Genomic DNA, 13,095 nt, shown 5'->3' with positions numbered 1-13,095 from the left:
ATGCCCACAGTCCTACCCTGGGTCTCTGTTTCCGACAGTGAGGACGCCCAAGGGCACAGAGTCCCGGGACGGGTGGCACCCCCCGCCAGCTCTCCCGCACACTTTGCTCTTTGCCTCTGCTCTCAGGCCTCCTCCTGGGGCTGGGTCTGCACACACCCGTGTTCCCGCTCCTGTGGCTTGTCCACTCCCTGCCAGAGGGAGCCGTGGTCAGCCAGGCTGTCCTGTGCCGGCGTATCCCAGTGCCCCTTCTCAGCTCGGAGGCCCCCACGGCCTCTGGGAGCCACAGCTCTCACCTCCTCCATGCCAGGCTCTGGGCCGGCCACCATGGTCCTGCCTGTGTCCACCGGAGGCTCCGTGGAGTGGATTGCTGCCTCTCCTCCTGTTGCCCCCGTTCAGGATGCCCCTCTCTGTCTTGAGATCCCTGAGCCAGCCTCCCAGTGCCCAGACATCTCTCTACAACCCAGCGATAGGCTGGGAGCCCTCCCAAGATGACAGCCCAGCCAGCGCCACGCTAGAAGGGTTCCTGCCTGGCCCTTTTGCCTCTGGTCAGCCCCCAGAAGGGCCCCATCCTGGGTTCCTGGTGTGCAACCTAGGACCCTGGCTCCTTTGAGACAAGCCTTAAGGCAAGCCTGCTCACCCCATGGTCCCATGGAGAGAGATCATGGCAGAGGTGTTGGTGCCCCCAGTCAGGAAACGTGGCTGACAGAGTTGGGCCCCTCGTCTGCAGAGCAGAGCCAGGAGCAGGCAGGCGGGCAGCACTCCGAGCTCCAGGTGGGAATGAGTAGAGGCGTGGGCAGTACCACCAGGTTCACGCACCCAGCCACCTGGAACGTGGCCTTCTAACTGCAGGCCCTGGAGCCTGCTCAGCCTGCCCCTGGTGAAGTGGTCCAGCCCTCAGTGGGCTGACCCCCCAGTTCTGTGTCCCTGATGATCCACTGCCCGGCCAACCTGACCTCCACTGCCCTCCTGCCCCTGCTCCTCAGCCCACTGCTCCTCCATGCTCCCCTTTCTAACAATCCTGGTCAGGTCCTCTCAGCAAGACCACCGCTCTAGGAAAAGAGGGGATCTCATGTGGCCCAGATGTCGTAGTTCCAGGACCTCTAGGTGATGAAGGTTGCATGTCCCCACCCGCTCCCTCCCAGTGCCCAGAACGAGCTCTGCCATCCTCCAAGTCCCACCCTCCCCAGCGCTGGTCAGAGGATCCCAGAAGAGCAGAGCTGGAGACCACCATGTCCAACAGGTCATTTCCAGCGACTCAGAGAAGCCAGGTGGGGCCTTGAGCAGACACACCAGGAGGCAGGGCTAGGACCTCGTCCAGTGGCGAAAGCTCCCACCAGCACGGGCATCCTAGCTACACAAGTGGGCAGAAGCACGTCCCTCTCCTGAAGGCAGCTGGGTGGGGGGTCCATCTGGGGTCCTGGCTCCTCCTCAGGGCCCAGAGCATCCCAGTTCCTGGGAATTCATCTCTTCCTTAGGAGTCCCCACCCCAGGACTCCAGCCCTGAGTCCTCGTGGGGAGCTGCTGACCTAGAAGGAAGGGGCCTCCCTGCCTGGATGCTGCTGCAACAGCTCAGAGCCAGGGCCGGTGAGGGGGTGGACAGCCTCACGCAGTAGCAGGGCCTGGAGGTCAGGAATAGGCTGGGTCCGACTCTAGGAGGAGGCATCTGCCCTGATGGATCCTAAGGCGGGAGGGGCAGAGGTGAACCCCAGGAACTAGGCCTCCCCCAACCCGTGGCCCTTCTCAGGTGCAGGTGTTTGCAGTCTTGCTAGGGAACAAGCTTTCTTCCCCTCCATCCCCCCGCAAAGCCCCAGGATTCCCACACCTCCCTGGACCACCTCGCTCTCTGTGCTAATGGAGGGAGACTGCACAGATGATGAGATGAGCGGGAACTGCCCGCTCTCCTCCACTTTCCTCCTCCTTCCTTTGGTATTTAATTATTAAAGTGGGCTTGGGAGGAGCTGAGGGCTGCGGGGGAGATTTCCATCCCACAGCTCTGGGAAAAGGATCCACAGCAGGTCACAGAATGGAGAGTGGGGCATGGGACCAGAGCATCTGGGCTGCCCTGGTTGTTACAAAGCCGACTTAGTAACAACCATGTGGTATGTGGGAAGGGTGGGGTGAAGGGGCAGGGGTGGGGCATCAGGCAGGGCAGAACTCTCCACTTTTCCGTGCTGTCTGCCACCCACTATTTCTATAAAAATAAGCTGCTCTTTTAGATTATGCAAGGGATAAGCAAGGCCAAATTTGGAAAGTCAAGAGCAAGCCTCAGGGAGGCAGAGGGCTGCCACCTATAAGCCATGGGACCTCAGTCTTGCTGTGCCTCACTTTCCTTGGATAAGTCAGCTACAGCACCGACCTCCAGGAGTTGGTGCAGTGGCCTGGGGTGGCAGCCGGTGTGCCTGATTGCCCTGGTCGGGCGTTCAGGGCAGGGAGCAGAATGGCCACTGCAGAAGGGATGTGCCTGTGAGTGGTTTGTCCCCAGCACCAATCTGCTGTTTGCGGACATACTATGGGCAGTGGGTGCTGGCCAAGAGCTGCACGTAGGTTTTCTGTTGACTGTCCATGCAGGGCTACATGGCCCATACTGTCAGCCCCAGCTGTGGAAGTGGGGGCTCATGAATGGAGTTTCTCATCCAAGGTCAGTCGCGCTGGTGGACGGCCCTGGCTGGAGGCCTACATCACCATCCAGGGACTCCCCACAGTGGCCCTCCTGTTGCCCTGGAGGCTCAGGTCTCTGACCTTCCATCTCCCATCTGCAAAGCACTGGACACTGGGGTTCCGGGCAGATGCACGGAGTGGCCTGGACATGCCCATCACAGCCCTAGGATAACCCAGACGGGCCATCGAGACCTATCCACACTCTGTGGAGACCAATGGAGGAAACAGCTCAGTTTCAGGCTGTGGGCGTCTGAATCAAAGCGGGGACTGGGAACAAGGTGCTCAGCGGACACTCAGCAAACGGCCTGAACGCCGACGCCTCTCCCGTCTCTGTCTCCTGTCTTCACAAAAGGAAAACGGAATGCCTTTCTGGCATCCACCCAGCTTTCCCGGATCCCCTGCCAGTTGTCATTTTCAGATAACTTGAATTTTATATTTTATGCCAGGATTTTTAAGCCCCCAGGATCTTTTCACATCTGCACAGCTTGGCTTGGAATCCTCAGCTAGGACCATCCTTCCTCCCCAAGAACCAGGGCCTCATCTAGAAGGTAGGGCAGGGAAATGAGGGTCCACATGTGGTCCGGCCCCTCGGCATACAGGGAGATGACCAGGCCTGGGAAATGTGCCCTTCGACGGGCTGGTGACAAGGCCAAAAAGCTGGGCAAACACATTGCAGAGATCCTCCCAAACTAAAACCACTGAGAGTACAAGTGCAAAACATTCCCTTTTAAGCCAGTAGGGGCTTGACAGCTGGAGAACTTGAAAACAACAGGGCACAGTTCACAAAATCAAAACTCATGGAAAACTCTGCGCGGGTGAGTCAGAGTGCCAGCGCCAAGTTTCCTGGCATGCAAGAGGAGGCTCCCCCGCTCAGGCAGATTTTTTTAAACATCTTTTTAATAAATTGAATTGAGACCTAATTTACATAAAATAAAACTGACCCATTTAATATCCAGTTTAATTATCTTGGACAAATGTTTATGTGCCCATGTCATCAGAATGTTTCTATCCCTGCGGAAGAATCGCTTCCATCATCCCCCCAAAGTTCCCTGGCACCACTGGGCAGTAGGTCCAGCCTTGGGCACAGCCCTGCCCCGACCTGGGTGGACCATCCATCTCTGCTTTTATGCCACTGTAGATTAGTGTCCCAGGCAGACTTTTACACCATATCAGACAGGGTGCTTGGTGGCAAGTAACAGAAACCCCGGGTTAATCTAGCTTTGGCATCTGGGGTACATGGGAGGTATGTGTGTATTTAAGGGAGTTTACTAACTCACATACCCAGAAAGTTCCAGAAGTGATTCTGGCTTCAGACACAGCTGGATCCAGGGCCGCAGATGATGTTCGCTAGGCCACTTCTCTTTTCCCTGTTTTCATCCCTGTTTTGGTCTGTGTTCTATTTATTCTCAATGGAAAAACTAAATGGCAGGTAAGCGGCAGTTCTCGGTTTATCTTCTACAAATTCTGCAATCCCAGCAGAAAGAGCACGCCCTTCCTGGAGATTCTAGCTTAAGTCCTGATATCAAGTGCACTGGCCAGGCCAGGGGCACACACCCTCCCAGGAGCTGGAGGCAGGGATGGGGGACAGGGGGTGACAGTCACCCCACCTTAGCCCAGTGGACTGAAAACAGGGAAGAGGTGCGCCCAAGGTAAAACTGGCAAGCATGGCCGGGTGCAGTGGCTCATGTCTGTAATCCCAGTATTCTGGGAGGCCAAGGTGGGTGGATCACTTAAGGTCAGGAGTTCGAGACCAGACTGGCCAATATGGCAAAACCCCGTCTCTGCTAAAAATACAAAAATTAGCCAGGCGTGGTGGCAGGTGCCTGTAATCCCCGCTACTCGGGAGGCTGAGGCAGGAGAATCACTTGAACCTGAGAGACAGAGGTTGCAGTGAGCTGAGATCACACCACTGCACACCAGCCTGGGCGACAGAGTGAGACTCTGTCTCGATAAATAAATAAACAAACAAACAAACAAACTGGCAGGCAAACAGCAGGTGTTGGCCACGTTCCTCCCCTCAGTCCACCCTCTACGTGCCCACTTCTTTCCTAAGTATGATTTTTAAATGCTCCCAGCCAAAATCTGTAGCTGTATAATTTACAACATAAAATGCCTGCCTTCCCCACAGAAGAGAGATGACCAAAGTCAACCGCAGGGCCTGCCTCCCCAGCTCCGAGCCCACACCCTGGGTGTTACTCACGCCACCCTCCGTCAGAGCCACAAACACCTCCTCTTTGAAAGGTACTTGTAGTACTTTCTGGGGATGCTATCACCCATTCACCAATACCACAGACTGGTGGGAGCACTTAAACAATAGAAATTTTCTTTCTCTCAGTCCTAGAGTCCAGAAATCCAAAATCAAGGTGTGGCAGGGCTGGTTCCTCCTGAGGCCTCTCTCCTTGGCTTGCAGACGGCCACCTTCTCCCTGTGTCCTCACAGGGTGGTCCCTCTGTGCCTGTCTGTGTCCTCACCTCCTCTTATCAGGACTCCAATCACACTGGATTCAGGGACCATCCTAGTGACCTCATCTTAACTTCATTAACCCTTTAAAGACCCTTTCTCCAAATATGGTTACATTCTAAGGTACAGGGGGTTTGAGGGTTCAACATACAAATTTTGGGGAGACCCCGTTCAGGCCACAACAGTGCCCTTTGGCCAAATGATGGTCACTCTCCAGACACACAACACGCAATGGAAAGGAAAAAGGAAATAACAATAATTTTTTTTTAGAATTCCCACTTGGAAAGGAAAAGGAAAGAACAAAAACACGTGGTGGTTGTTGGTCTGTGGCATATTCTGTGCTAGGCAGGAAACCAGCAGCGCAACGGGGGTCTTGGTCAGCCCACCGATGTGGCGGCCAGAATCCAAGACAGCCCCCAGCAATGCCGTCTCACCCTCGTGTCATCCCCTCCCTGTGCACATGGGCTGTACCAAGTGGCTTGCTTCTAACCGATGGAACACAGCAAAGCTGATTAGGCTGCACAGCACTGTGACTTGCATCTTGCTAGCAGACTCTCTCCCTTGCTGGCTTCAATGAAGCCAGCTGCCGTGTTGTGAGCTGACATATTAGAGAGGCCCCTGTGGCAAGCCATTGAAGGCAGCTTTTGGCCAACAGCCAGCAATAAACAGAGGCTCCCAGCCTGGCAGCCGGCAAAGAAACGAGCCCGGTCAACAACCACATGAACTTGAAAGCAGATTCTTCCCGGAGGGAGGCTTCAGATAAGACATCTGCAGGGACCACTCCTGATGTCACATGTTCTTTAAAGGCCTGGGGAAGCAGAGCTGAGCTGCCTCCTGACACGTGTGGCCCAACACAGAAAGTGGGGCTTTACCAACCTCACGGTGTCATCCCACCAGGACCCAGCCAATTGCATATGTAAAGGCAGGTATTTGCAACAAGCCTCTTTGCCTCTTTCAGGTATTAGTTTCTCCACTGGTCAGGAATCTTTGTTGCAAATGACAAAAACCCCATTGAAACACACACACACACACACACACACACACACACAGAATGCACTGGCTCCTATTACTAAAAAGTCCAGGCAAAGATGGGCTTCAAGAACAGCTGGATCCAGGTGCCTGGATCTGGGGACTCTGTCAATCAACTAGCAATTAGTCAAGAAATGTGAGCATCTCTACATGCCAGGCAATGTTCTAGGCACAGAAGGCACAAAAAATGTGAGAACTGCCACCTTCTGGAAGCTTATGTCTTTCTGAGCAGCCTGTCTCTGTCTCTTGGGTCTTGGCCCATTCTCAGGCAGGATCTCCCCTCCTGGAGAAGAGACAGGCACCATAGGTCCAGCACAGCAAACCCAGAATAAAGAGGCCAGGGAAGTCCTCACTGTCACTGCAGAGTCAGCACCGCCCACACCCCTAAGACTGTCCCCCAAGTCAGTTGCCTAGGGTTACTTCTGTGATCAGCCTTAACGTCTGGGGTCCCCGCTTTTTCTTTCCTCATGCACATTTGTTCAAAGCAGATGCCCAGCATCTCCCATGCCTATACCTCCTTCCGCTGCAGGGCGGGACAGTGAGAATGAACACCATGCTAGCTCGGGGACCGTCCTAGAGACTCAGCCATCCGCTGCACCACCCATACGGCCCACCCGGCACCTGCTCCAGGCCAGCACCCTCACAGGGCAGGTGACACGGATAAGATGCCGGCCTCCATCCTGCCCTTGAGGGGACTGACACATCAGAACTCTTCCCTCGCCAGGCAGGAAGGGGGCCTCGGCCGGTGTGGGGGAAAGGGCTGCTCTACCATCTGCCTGTGTGGCATGTGTGTGAGCTCCCCTTCTTTCTAGGAATTGAGGGAGGCCCTGAGGGACTACAGGCATTTTGGTGAGGACTTTGAGGCTCAGAGACGTCACCTGAATGGTGTGGTTCCCCAACTCACAAGCAGTGGAACTCAGACTGGAAATAAGATCCTGGGCTCCGGGCCCAGCTCTTCTTCCTCCCCATCCCTCCGTAGGCAGCATCCTTAGTGAGTCCATTAGCCAGAGCATCTCCCCAGGCAGGCAGTTGGGGGTGGCTGTAATAGCCTTTCCCAGCCCACAAGAACCCCCATTTCCTCCATGGCTTCACCTGAACCCCCCACGGTGGGTCTCACTAATGCTGTGAGGTCTCCTCGGCCATCCCTGGTGGCATTCAGGAAGGGAGGTATCACCTTTCCTTGAAGGCCCCAGCCTCATCCTCCATTTCACTGCCGCCAAGCTGTCTCCTGTGGGGGCCGGGGGTTCATGCTCAGGTCCATTAGACTTCAGCTGGCTCTTCTGGGCCAGCACCGCGGTACCCACGTGCAGAGGCCCTGGCAGGCGGGGCCGGCACCCATCCTGCATTTATACCTCAGGCCCGGCTTCCCACTGCTCAGAGGGAACCTAGCGAAGATCATCAGGGGATCCTGGGGACAGGCTCCTCTGAGCCTGGGGGCAGCCCTGCCCAGCGGGAGAGAAGCAGGCAGCTCAGGCCAGAGCCAGAACAGGGCGAGCGGCTCAGGGGCCTGGGCCTAGGTGGCTGCTGAGGCCTCCAGCACTGGAGTGGGCAGGCACCAGCCACCTTCACCGAGGGACCACACACTGCATCCAAGACAGGTGAGAGGCCTGTTTTTTGCAATCTGGGTGAAGGCAGGAGAGCGTGGGGGACAGAAGCGATGCTTTGCACCCCGTGGGACGTTGGGGGAGTTCCTGTTCGGCCAGGGTAGCCAGGTAGCCCAGCAAGTGTCTCAGCTTCTCTGAGCCCAAATAAAGCAGAAATAATGAAACCCACCTCAAAAACATTCAAAGCGCGGATGAGCTCATGTCACCAACCCTGGGACCTGCCACCTCAGTGTGCAGCACAGCACGGAGAAGCGTCGGACAAGCTAAATTCAAGAAGACATAGTTTGTTTTTGAGAAAGCAAGCTTACGAGACAACCAGGCCCTATATTTTCATTTATGTAAAAAACATATATTGATAGGTAAATGCACAGAAAAAAAAATCTTCAAGGATTTATAGTGATACCTGGGGGTGAAGACAAGGGTAGACCTTCTTTCTTCTTTAGCATTGGAAGCTTTCAAAATAAGAATCTTTGCATCTTATCTGTGTCGTTTTTAAAGATGTTTAAGGCACAGGGAGAAAGGGACAACGTCATACTAGCCGTGGGAAAGAACACATTTTTGTGTCTTCAGTGGCATGGACAAAAGGTCAAGCAAGGCTTTTGAGGACAGGAATCCTAAAAGTTAACATGAGAGATTCTCTATTGGAAAACTTACTTGACATTGAATATGAGAGGACAGTTTCCAACCTAGTGCCTTCCCCAACACACACACACACACACACACACACACACACACACACACACTCACACTCCTCAACACATTCTAAAAATCAGGCTCCATTATTGGCCATAAGGCAGTGGAAATAGAAAATACTTTTAAAGGCCAGGCGTGGTGGCTCACGCCTGTAATCCCAGCACTTTGGGAAGCCGAGGTGGGCGGATCACCTGAGGTCAGGAGTTTGAGACCAGCCTGGCCAACATGGTGAAACTCCGTCTCTACTAAAAATATAAAAATTAGCCAGGTGGTGGCAGACGCCTGTAATCCCAGCTACTCGGGAGGCTGAGGCATGAGGATCACTTGAACCCAGGAGGCAGAGGTGGCAGTGAGCCAAGATCACGCCACTGCACTCTGGCCTGGGCAACAGGGCAAGACTCCATCTCAAAAAGGAAAAAAGAAAATACTTTAAAAATCTGAAATATTGTCTGGGCGCGGTGGCTCACACCTGTAACCCCAGCACTTTGGGAGGTGGAGGCGGGCAGATCACGAGGTCAGGAGATCGAGACCATCCTGGCTAACACGGTGAAACCCTGTCTCTACTAAAAATACAAAAAAATTAGCCAGATGTGGTGGCAGGCGCCTGTAGTCCCAGCTACTTGGGAATCTGAGGCAGGAGAATGGCGTGAACCCAGGAGGCAGAGCTTGTAGTGAGCCAAGATCAAGCCACTGCACTCCAGCCTGGGCAAGAGAGAGAGACTCCATCACAAAAAAAAAAAAAAAAAAAAAAAAAATCTGAAATATTTTAAACCCAACAACTAGGGAATCAAAGCATAACACGAACATACCCCACAGTGTGAAAGCTTACACACAGGAAACGCTTGGAAGGATCCATTCCCAAAGGAATTATCTCTGGTGGTGAGATTATGAGCAATTTTTCTTTTTCGGTATTTTGAGTATCTATCCAGCGTCTCCAATGTGCTCTACAGTAAACACAAATAACCTTGGTAATAAGAACAAGACCCCCAAATTTTAGGAGGTGCTCCGTCTCAGGGCTGTGCACGTTCACCTCCATGGGTCCTGACCCGGGGCGGTCACTGCTATTAACGCCTCTCCTCCCAGGGGTCTCCACGGTCTCTGATGTGTTCAGTGGCCAAGCAAAGCAGCGCTGAGCACACTAGAACACTGTAAACACCCCTTGACGCCGTGCGGCCGTCCCCGGCCTGAGTGATGATCACCTCCCCCCGCTGCGGTACCTCCTCGAGGCCTCGTTCAGCATCGATTAGTGCTGGGGGCAGGAGTTGGCATAAATCGGGGCTTCTCTTGGCTCTGATGGGGATCAGGAGCAAGCTTCAAGCTCAGAACCTCTAACAGAGCCCCAGAGCCACTCAGGGGAACCGTGGGACCCTGAGGAGGGTTGAGCAGTCTGGGGTCCCACTGTCCATCAGTCCATCAGTCCATCAGGCACTCAGCCAATAAACTCTGAGTGCTCATGATGTGCTGGGCACGGGGCCCCCTGGCTGGCCCTGGATACCCCCGCACCCTTCCTAGGAAGAGAAGGCTGAGAGCAGAGCCACCTGGGGCCGGGTCCCCGCTGTTCCTGCTGTGTCGGGCTCAGCTGGGAAGGCGTCTTGTGGGTGGGCTCCACTTGCCCTCTCCCAAGTCCAGGATCAACCCCTCAATGAGCAGTGTGTGGCGATGGCACTCTGCTCTCTATGGTGGGCACACCTGCGCCAAGGGGCATAGGAATTTCCTGTGGCCGCACAGACCGGGCAGCTTAAAGCACAAAGCTCCTCTCTCATGGTCGGGAGGCCAGAAGCCCAGAATTAGGGTCGGCAGGGCCATGCGCCCCCTGAGGCTCTAGGGAGCCCCTCCTTGCTTTTCTGGCTTCTAGTGGCTCTAGGCGTTCCTGGGATGTGGCTGCATAAACCCAGTCCCTGCTTGTGTCTTCATGAGGCCCCCTCTCCTCCCTAGGCAACTCCTCTGTGTGTCTCTTATAAGAACTGGGATTAGGGGCCAACTGCCTCATCCAGGATGGTCTCATCTCAAGATCCTTAACTCTATTACATCTGCAAAGACCTTACCTCCAAATAAGTCACATTCACGGGTTCTGGAACAGGGACCTATCTTTAGGGACCACCATTCAGCCCCCTACAGGAAACAGCCAGTGTATAACCTGCTGGTCTGCACACTCATTCATCCGTCAGCAAGTCTTGTTGAACATTTACTACCTGCAGGCATGGTACTACGTGTTAGGTTTTGTTTTGTTTTGTTTTGTTTGTTTGTTTGAGACGGAGTCTCGGTCTATTGCCCAGGCTGGAGTGCAATGGCGTCATCTGGGCTCACTGCAACCTCTGCCTCCTGGATTCAAGTGGTTCTCCTGCCTCAGTCTCCCGAGTAGCTGGGACCCACCAGCTACTCAGTGCCCAACAGGCACCCACTACCACGCCTGGCTAATTTTTGTATTTTTTAGTAGAGACAGGGTTTCACCATATTGGCCAGGCTAGTCTCGAACTCCTGACCTCGTTGATCCACCTGCCTCGGCCTCCCAAAGTGCTGGGATTACAGGTGTAAGCCACTGTGCCTGGCCTAGTGTTAGGTTTTTTAAAGGGGAGGTGAGGGTTAAGGAAAGACACACACACACAGAGAGAGTGGCGGCTCTACAGGAAACGCAGGTATATTGTAAAAACCTGCGGAGGTGGGGGACCAGCTTGATGCCAGAGCCCACCACCGCTTACAGGCTGGGGTACTTATAGGTATGGGTGGGAGGGGTCTGGGCAATATGGCTTGCTGCCTGGCAGGATATTGATAAGATCATGGGGGTGTTGCTTGCACTTTCTCCCAGCAGAATATGATAAGAGGCAGGCTGTTTCTCACAGCCCAAATCCCCGTGGAATGTTTCACTTTCACCAGGGTCTGCGCAGTGGCAGGGGGCTTACGAAACGGTGCAGCTGGACTCACACTAGGGACCAGGTGGACAGACAGAGGGATCAAGTCAGACGCGGTGCCCACCCATCCAGCCGACATGCTGGCTGAACTCACTCCATCTGCAGAGACGAGGGAAGGAGGGCCGGGAGTTCAGGAGTTCATTAAGCGCTGCGGGGCGCTTAATCCAGGGGCCAAGCCACAAACATTTATTGAGCACCACTGTATGCCAGCCCCTGATTCAGGGGTGGCAGAGACACGTACTCTCCCCCACCCTCCACCTCCCCACTCACCCCTGCATCCTGAAGCTCACGTCACTGCAGAGAAGCCAGGCATCTCCACTGATGTGGCCAGTTTTCACGTATGTGTTGGCTTTTACTAGAAAATAGCCACAGCTCATTATTCTACTTCGGCTGGGATAAGGGCTCCTGTCTCTCAACCCCTCCACCCCAAGTACCTCTTCCTTTCCTCAGCCCCAATACTTGACACTCTCCTGCTATCAAGGAGCAAGAGGATGCCAGGGAGTGTCACCTCCCCCCCTCAAGTCCCTGGCTGACCCACGCCTGGTTCTGCGCCTCCTCCTGATGATGTTGATGTCTCAGCTCCTAGCTGGCCAAGCTCCCGACTGTGGGCTAGGTCCCCTCTCCTCTCGACACCTCCCCAGGAAATCATTCCTGCAGCTGCGGCCTCTCCCACGCATCAGGAGTCCCCTGTCCACTGAATCACTATCCTCGAATACAGCACACAATCACGTCGTTCCAGTAAATGGAGAGATCAGCCTCCCTGTCATTTCTCTGTTCCCCTACCCCACCCATGACCACACATTCCTTCGAATGTCACCTGCACTCTCTCAGGGGTCCCTGCAGCTGAGCATCTCCCCACCGGGAGGGGTCCTCTGGGGCCATCTCCCTAACACACGCCCCACCTCCAACCCTTATCCCTTTGCAACCCATCAGGGTTCCGCATAAAGGCCCCCATCAAGGCCGGGCACGGTGGCTCACACCTGTAATCCCAGTACTTTGGGAGGCCCAGGTGGGCGGATCACCTGAGGTCAGGAGTTCAAGACCAGCCGGGCCAACATACTGAAACCCTGTCTCTACTAAAAATACAAAAATTAGCTGGGCATGGTGGCGTGTACCTGTCATCCCAGCTACTGGAGAGGCTGAGGCAGGAGAATCATTTGAACCCAGGAGGCGGAGGTTGCAGTGAGCTGAGATCGCGCCACTGCACTCCAGCCTGGTGACGGAGCAAGACTCCGTGTCAAAAAAAAAAAAAAAGGCCCCCATCACAGCTCTCGCCATCACCCTCACAGGTGCCAGGCTGAAGCCACCTTGCTGTCCCTGCTCAGGGACCGTCTCTCCTGCAGAACGGCATCCACAGGTGCAAGGAGGGGCCTGTCTCTTTCTCTCCAGCACCCTGGTACCTGGAATAGCCCCTGACACACTGCGGGCCCTTGGGAAATGTCTGCAAGGGGCTCCCTGGTGACCCCCAAGAGGAAGCCAGGCGCCCTGAGGGCCTCTGAGCCCCACTGGACATCACCACCCTGTCCAGACACCCAGAGCAGAGTGGGGGATGGGGAAGGTGGCAGGTGGGGGACAATGGCCTGGGAAGACCCATCAGAAGTATAAGTACAAGGACCGTGGGACAGCAGCATGTGTCTGCACCCTCCTCTCTCAGAGCTTCGGGGCCCCTGGTCTCCCTTCCCCACAGAGCACTGCCCAAACACCCCTGAATCCACATGGAGTAGACCCGCGTCGTCCTGCAG

General features: G+C 54.9%; 3 annotated features.

Annotated features, from left to right (window-relative positions):
* Positions 12–513: an enhancer, noted in NCBI's record as "H3K4me1 hESC enhancer chr11:68771339-68771840 (GRCh37/hg19 assembly coordinates)". NCBI's record gives its function as "activates a minimal SCP1, AML or CMV promoter by ChIP-STARR-seq in primed H9 embryonic stem cells {active_cell/tissue: H9 hESC(primed)}" and the evidence as "EXISTENCE:reporter gene assay evidence [ECO:0000049][PMID:30033119]".
* Positions 1,474–1,974: an enhancer, noted in NCBI's record as "H3K4me1 hESC enhancer chr11:68769878-68770378 (GRCh37/hg19 assembly coordinates)". NCBI's record gives its function as "activates a minimal SCP1, AML or CMV promoter by ChIP-STARR-seq in naive H9 embryonic stem cells {active_cell/tissue: H9 hESC(naive)}" and the evidence as "EXISTENCE:reporter gene assay evidence [ECO:0000049][PMID:30033119]".
* Positions 9,552–9,718: a silencer, noted in NCBI's record as "fragment chr11:68762134-68762300 (GRCh37/hg19 assembly coordinates)". NCBI's record gives its function as "represses an EF-1alpha promoter that drives an FKBP-Casp9 reporter gene in an ReSE screen in HepG2 liver carcinoma cells {active_cell/tissue: HepG2}" and the evidence as "EXISTENCE:reporter gene assay evidence [ECO:0000049][PMID:32094911]".

Source organism: Homo sapiens, chromosome 11 (genome assembly GCF_000001405.40).
Source record: "Homo sapiens chromosome 11, GRCh38.p14 Primary Assembly".
NCBI classification, from domain to species: domain Eukaryota; kingdom Metazoa; phylum Chordata; class Mammalia; order Primates; family Hominidae; genus Homo; species Homo sapiens.
This window is presented reverse-complemented; position numbering and strand designations above follow the sequence as displayed.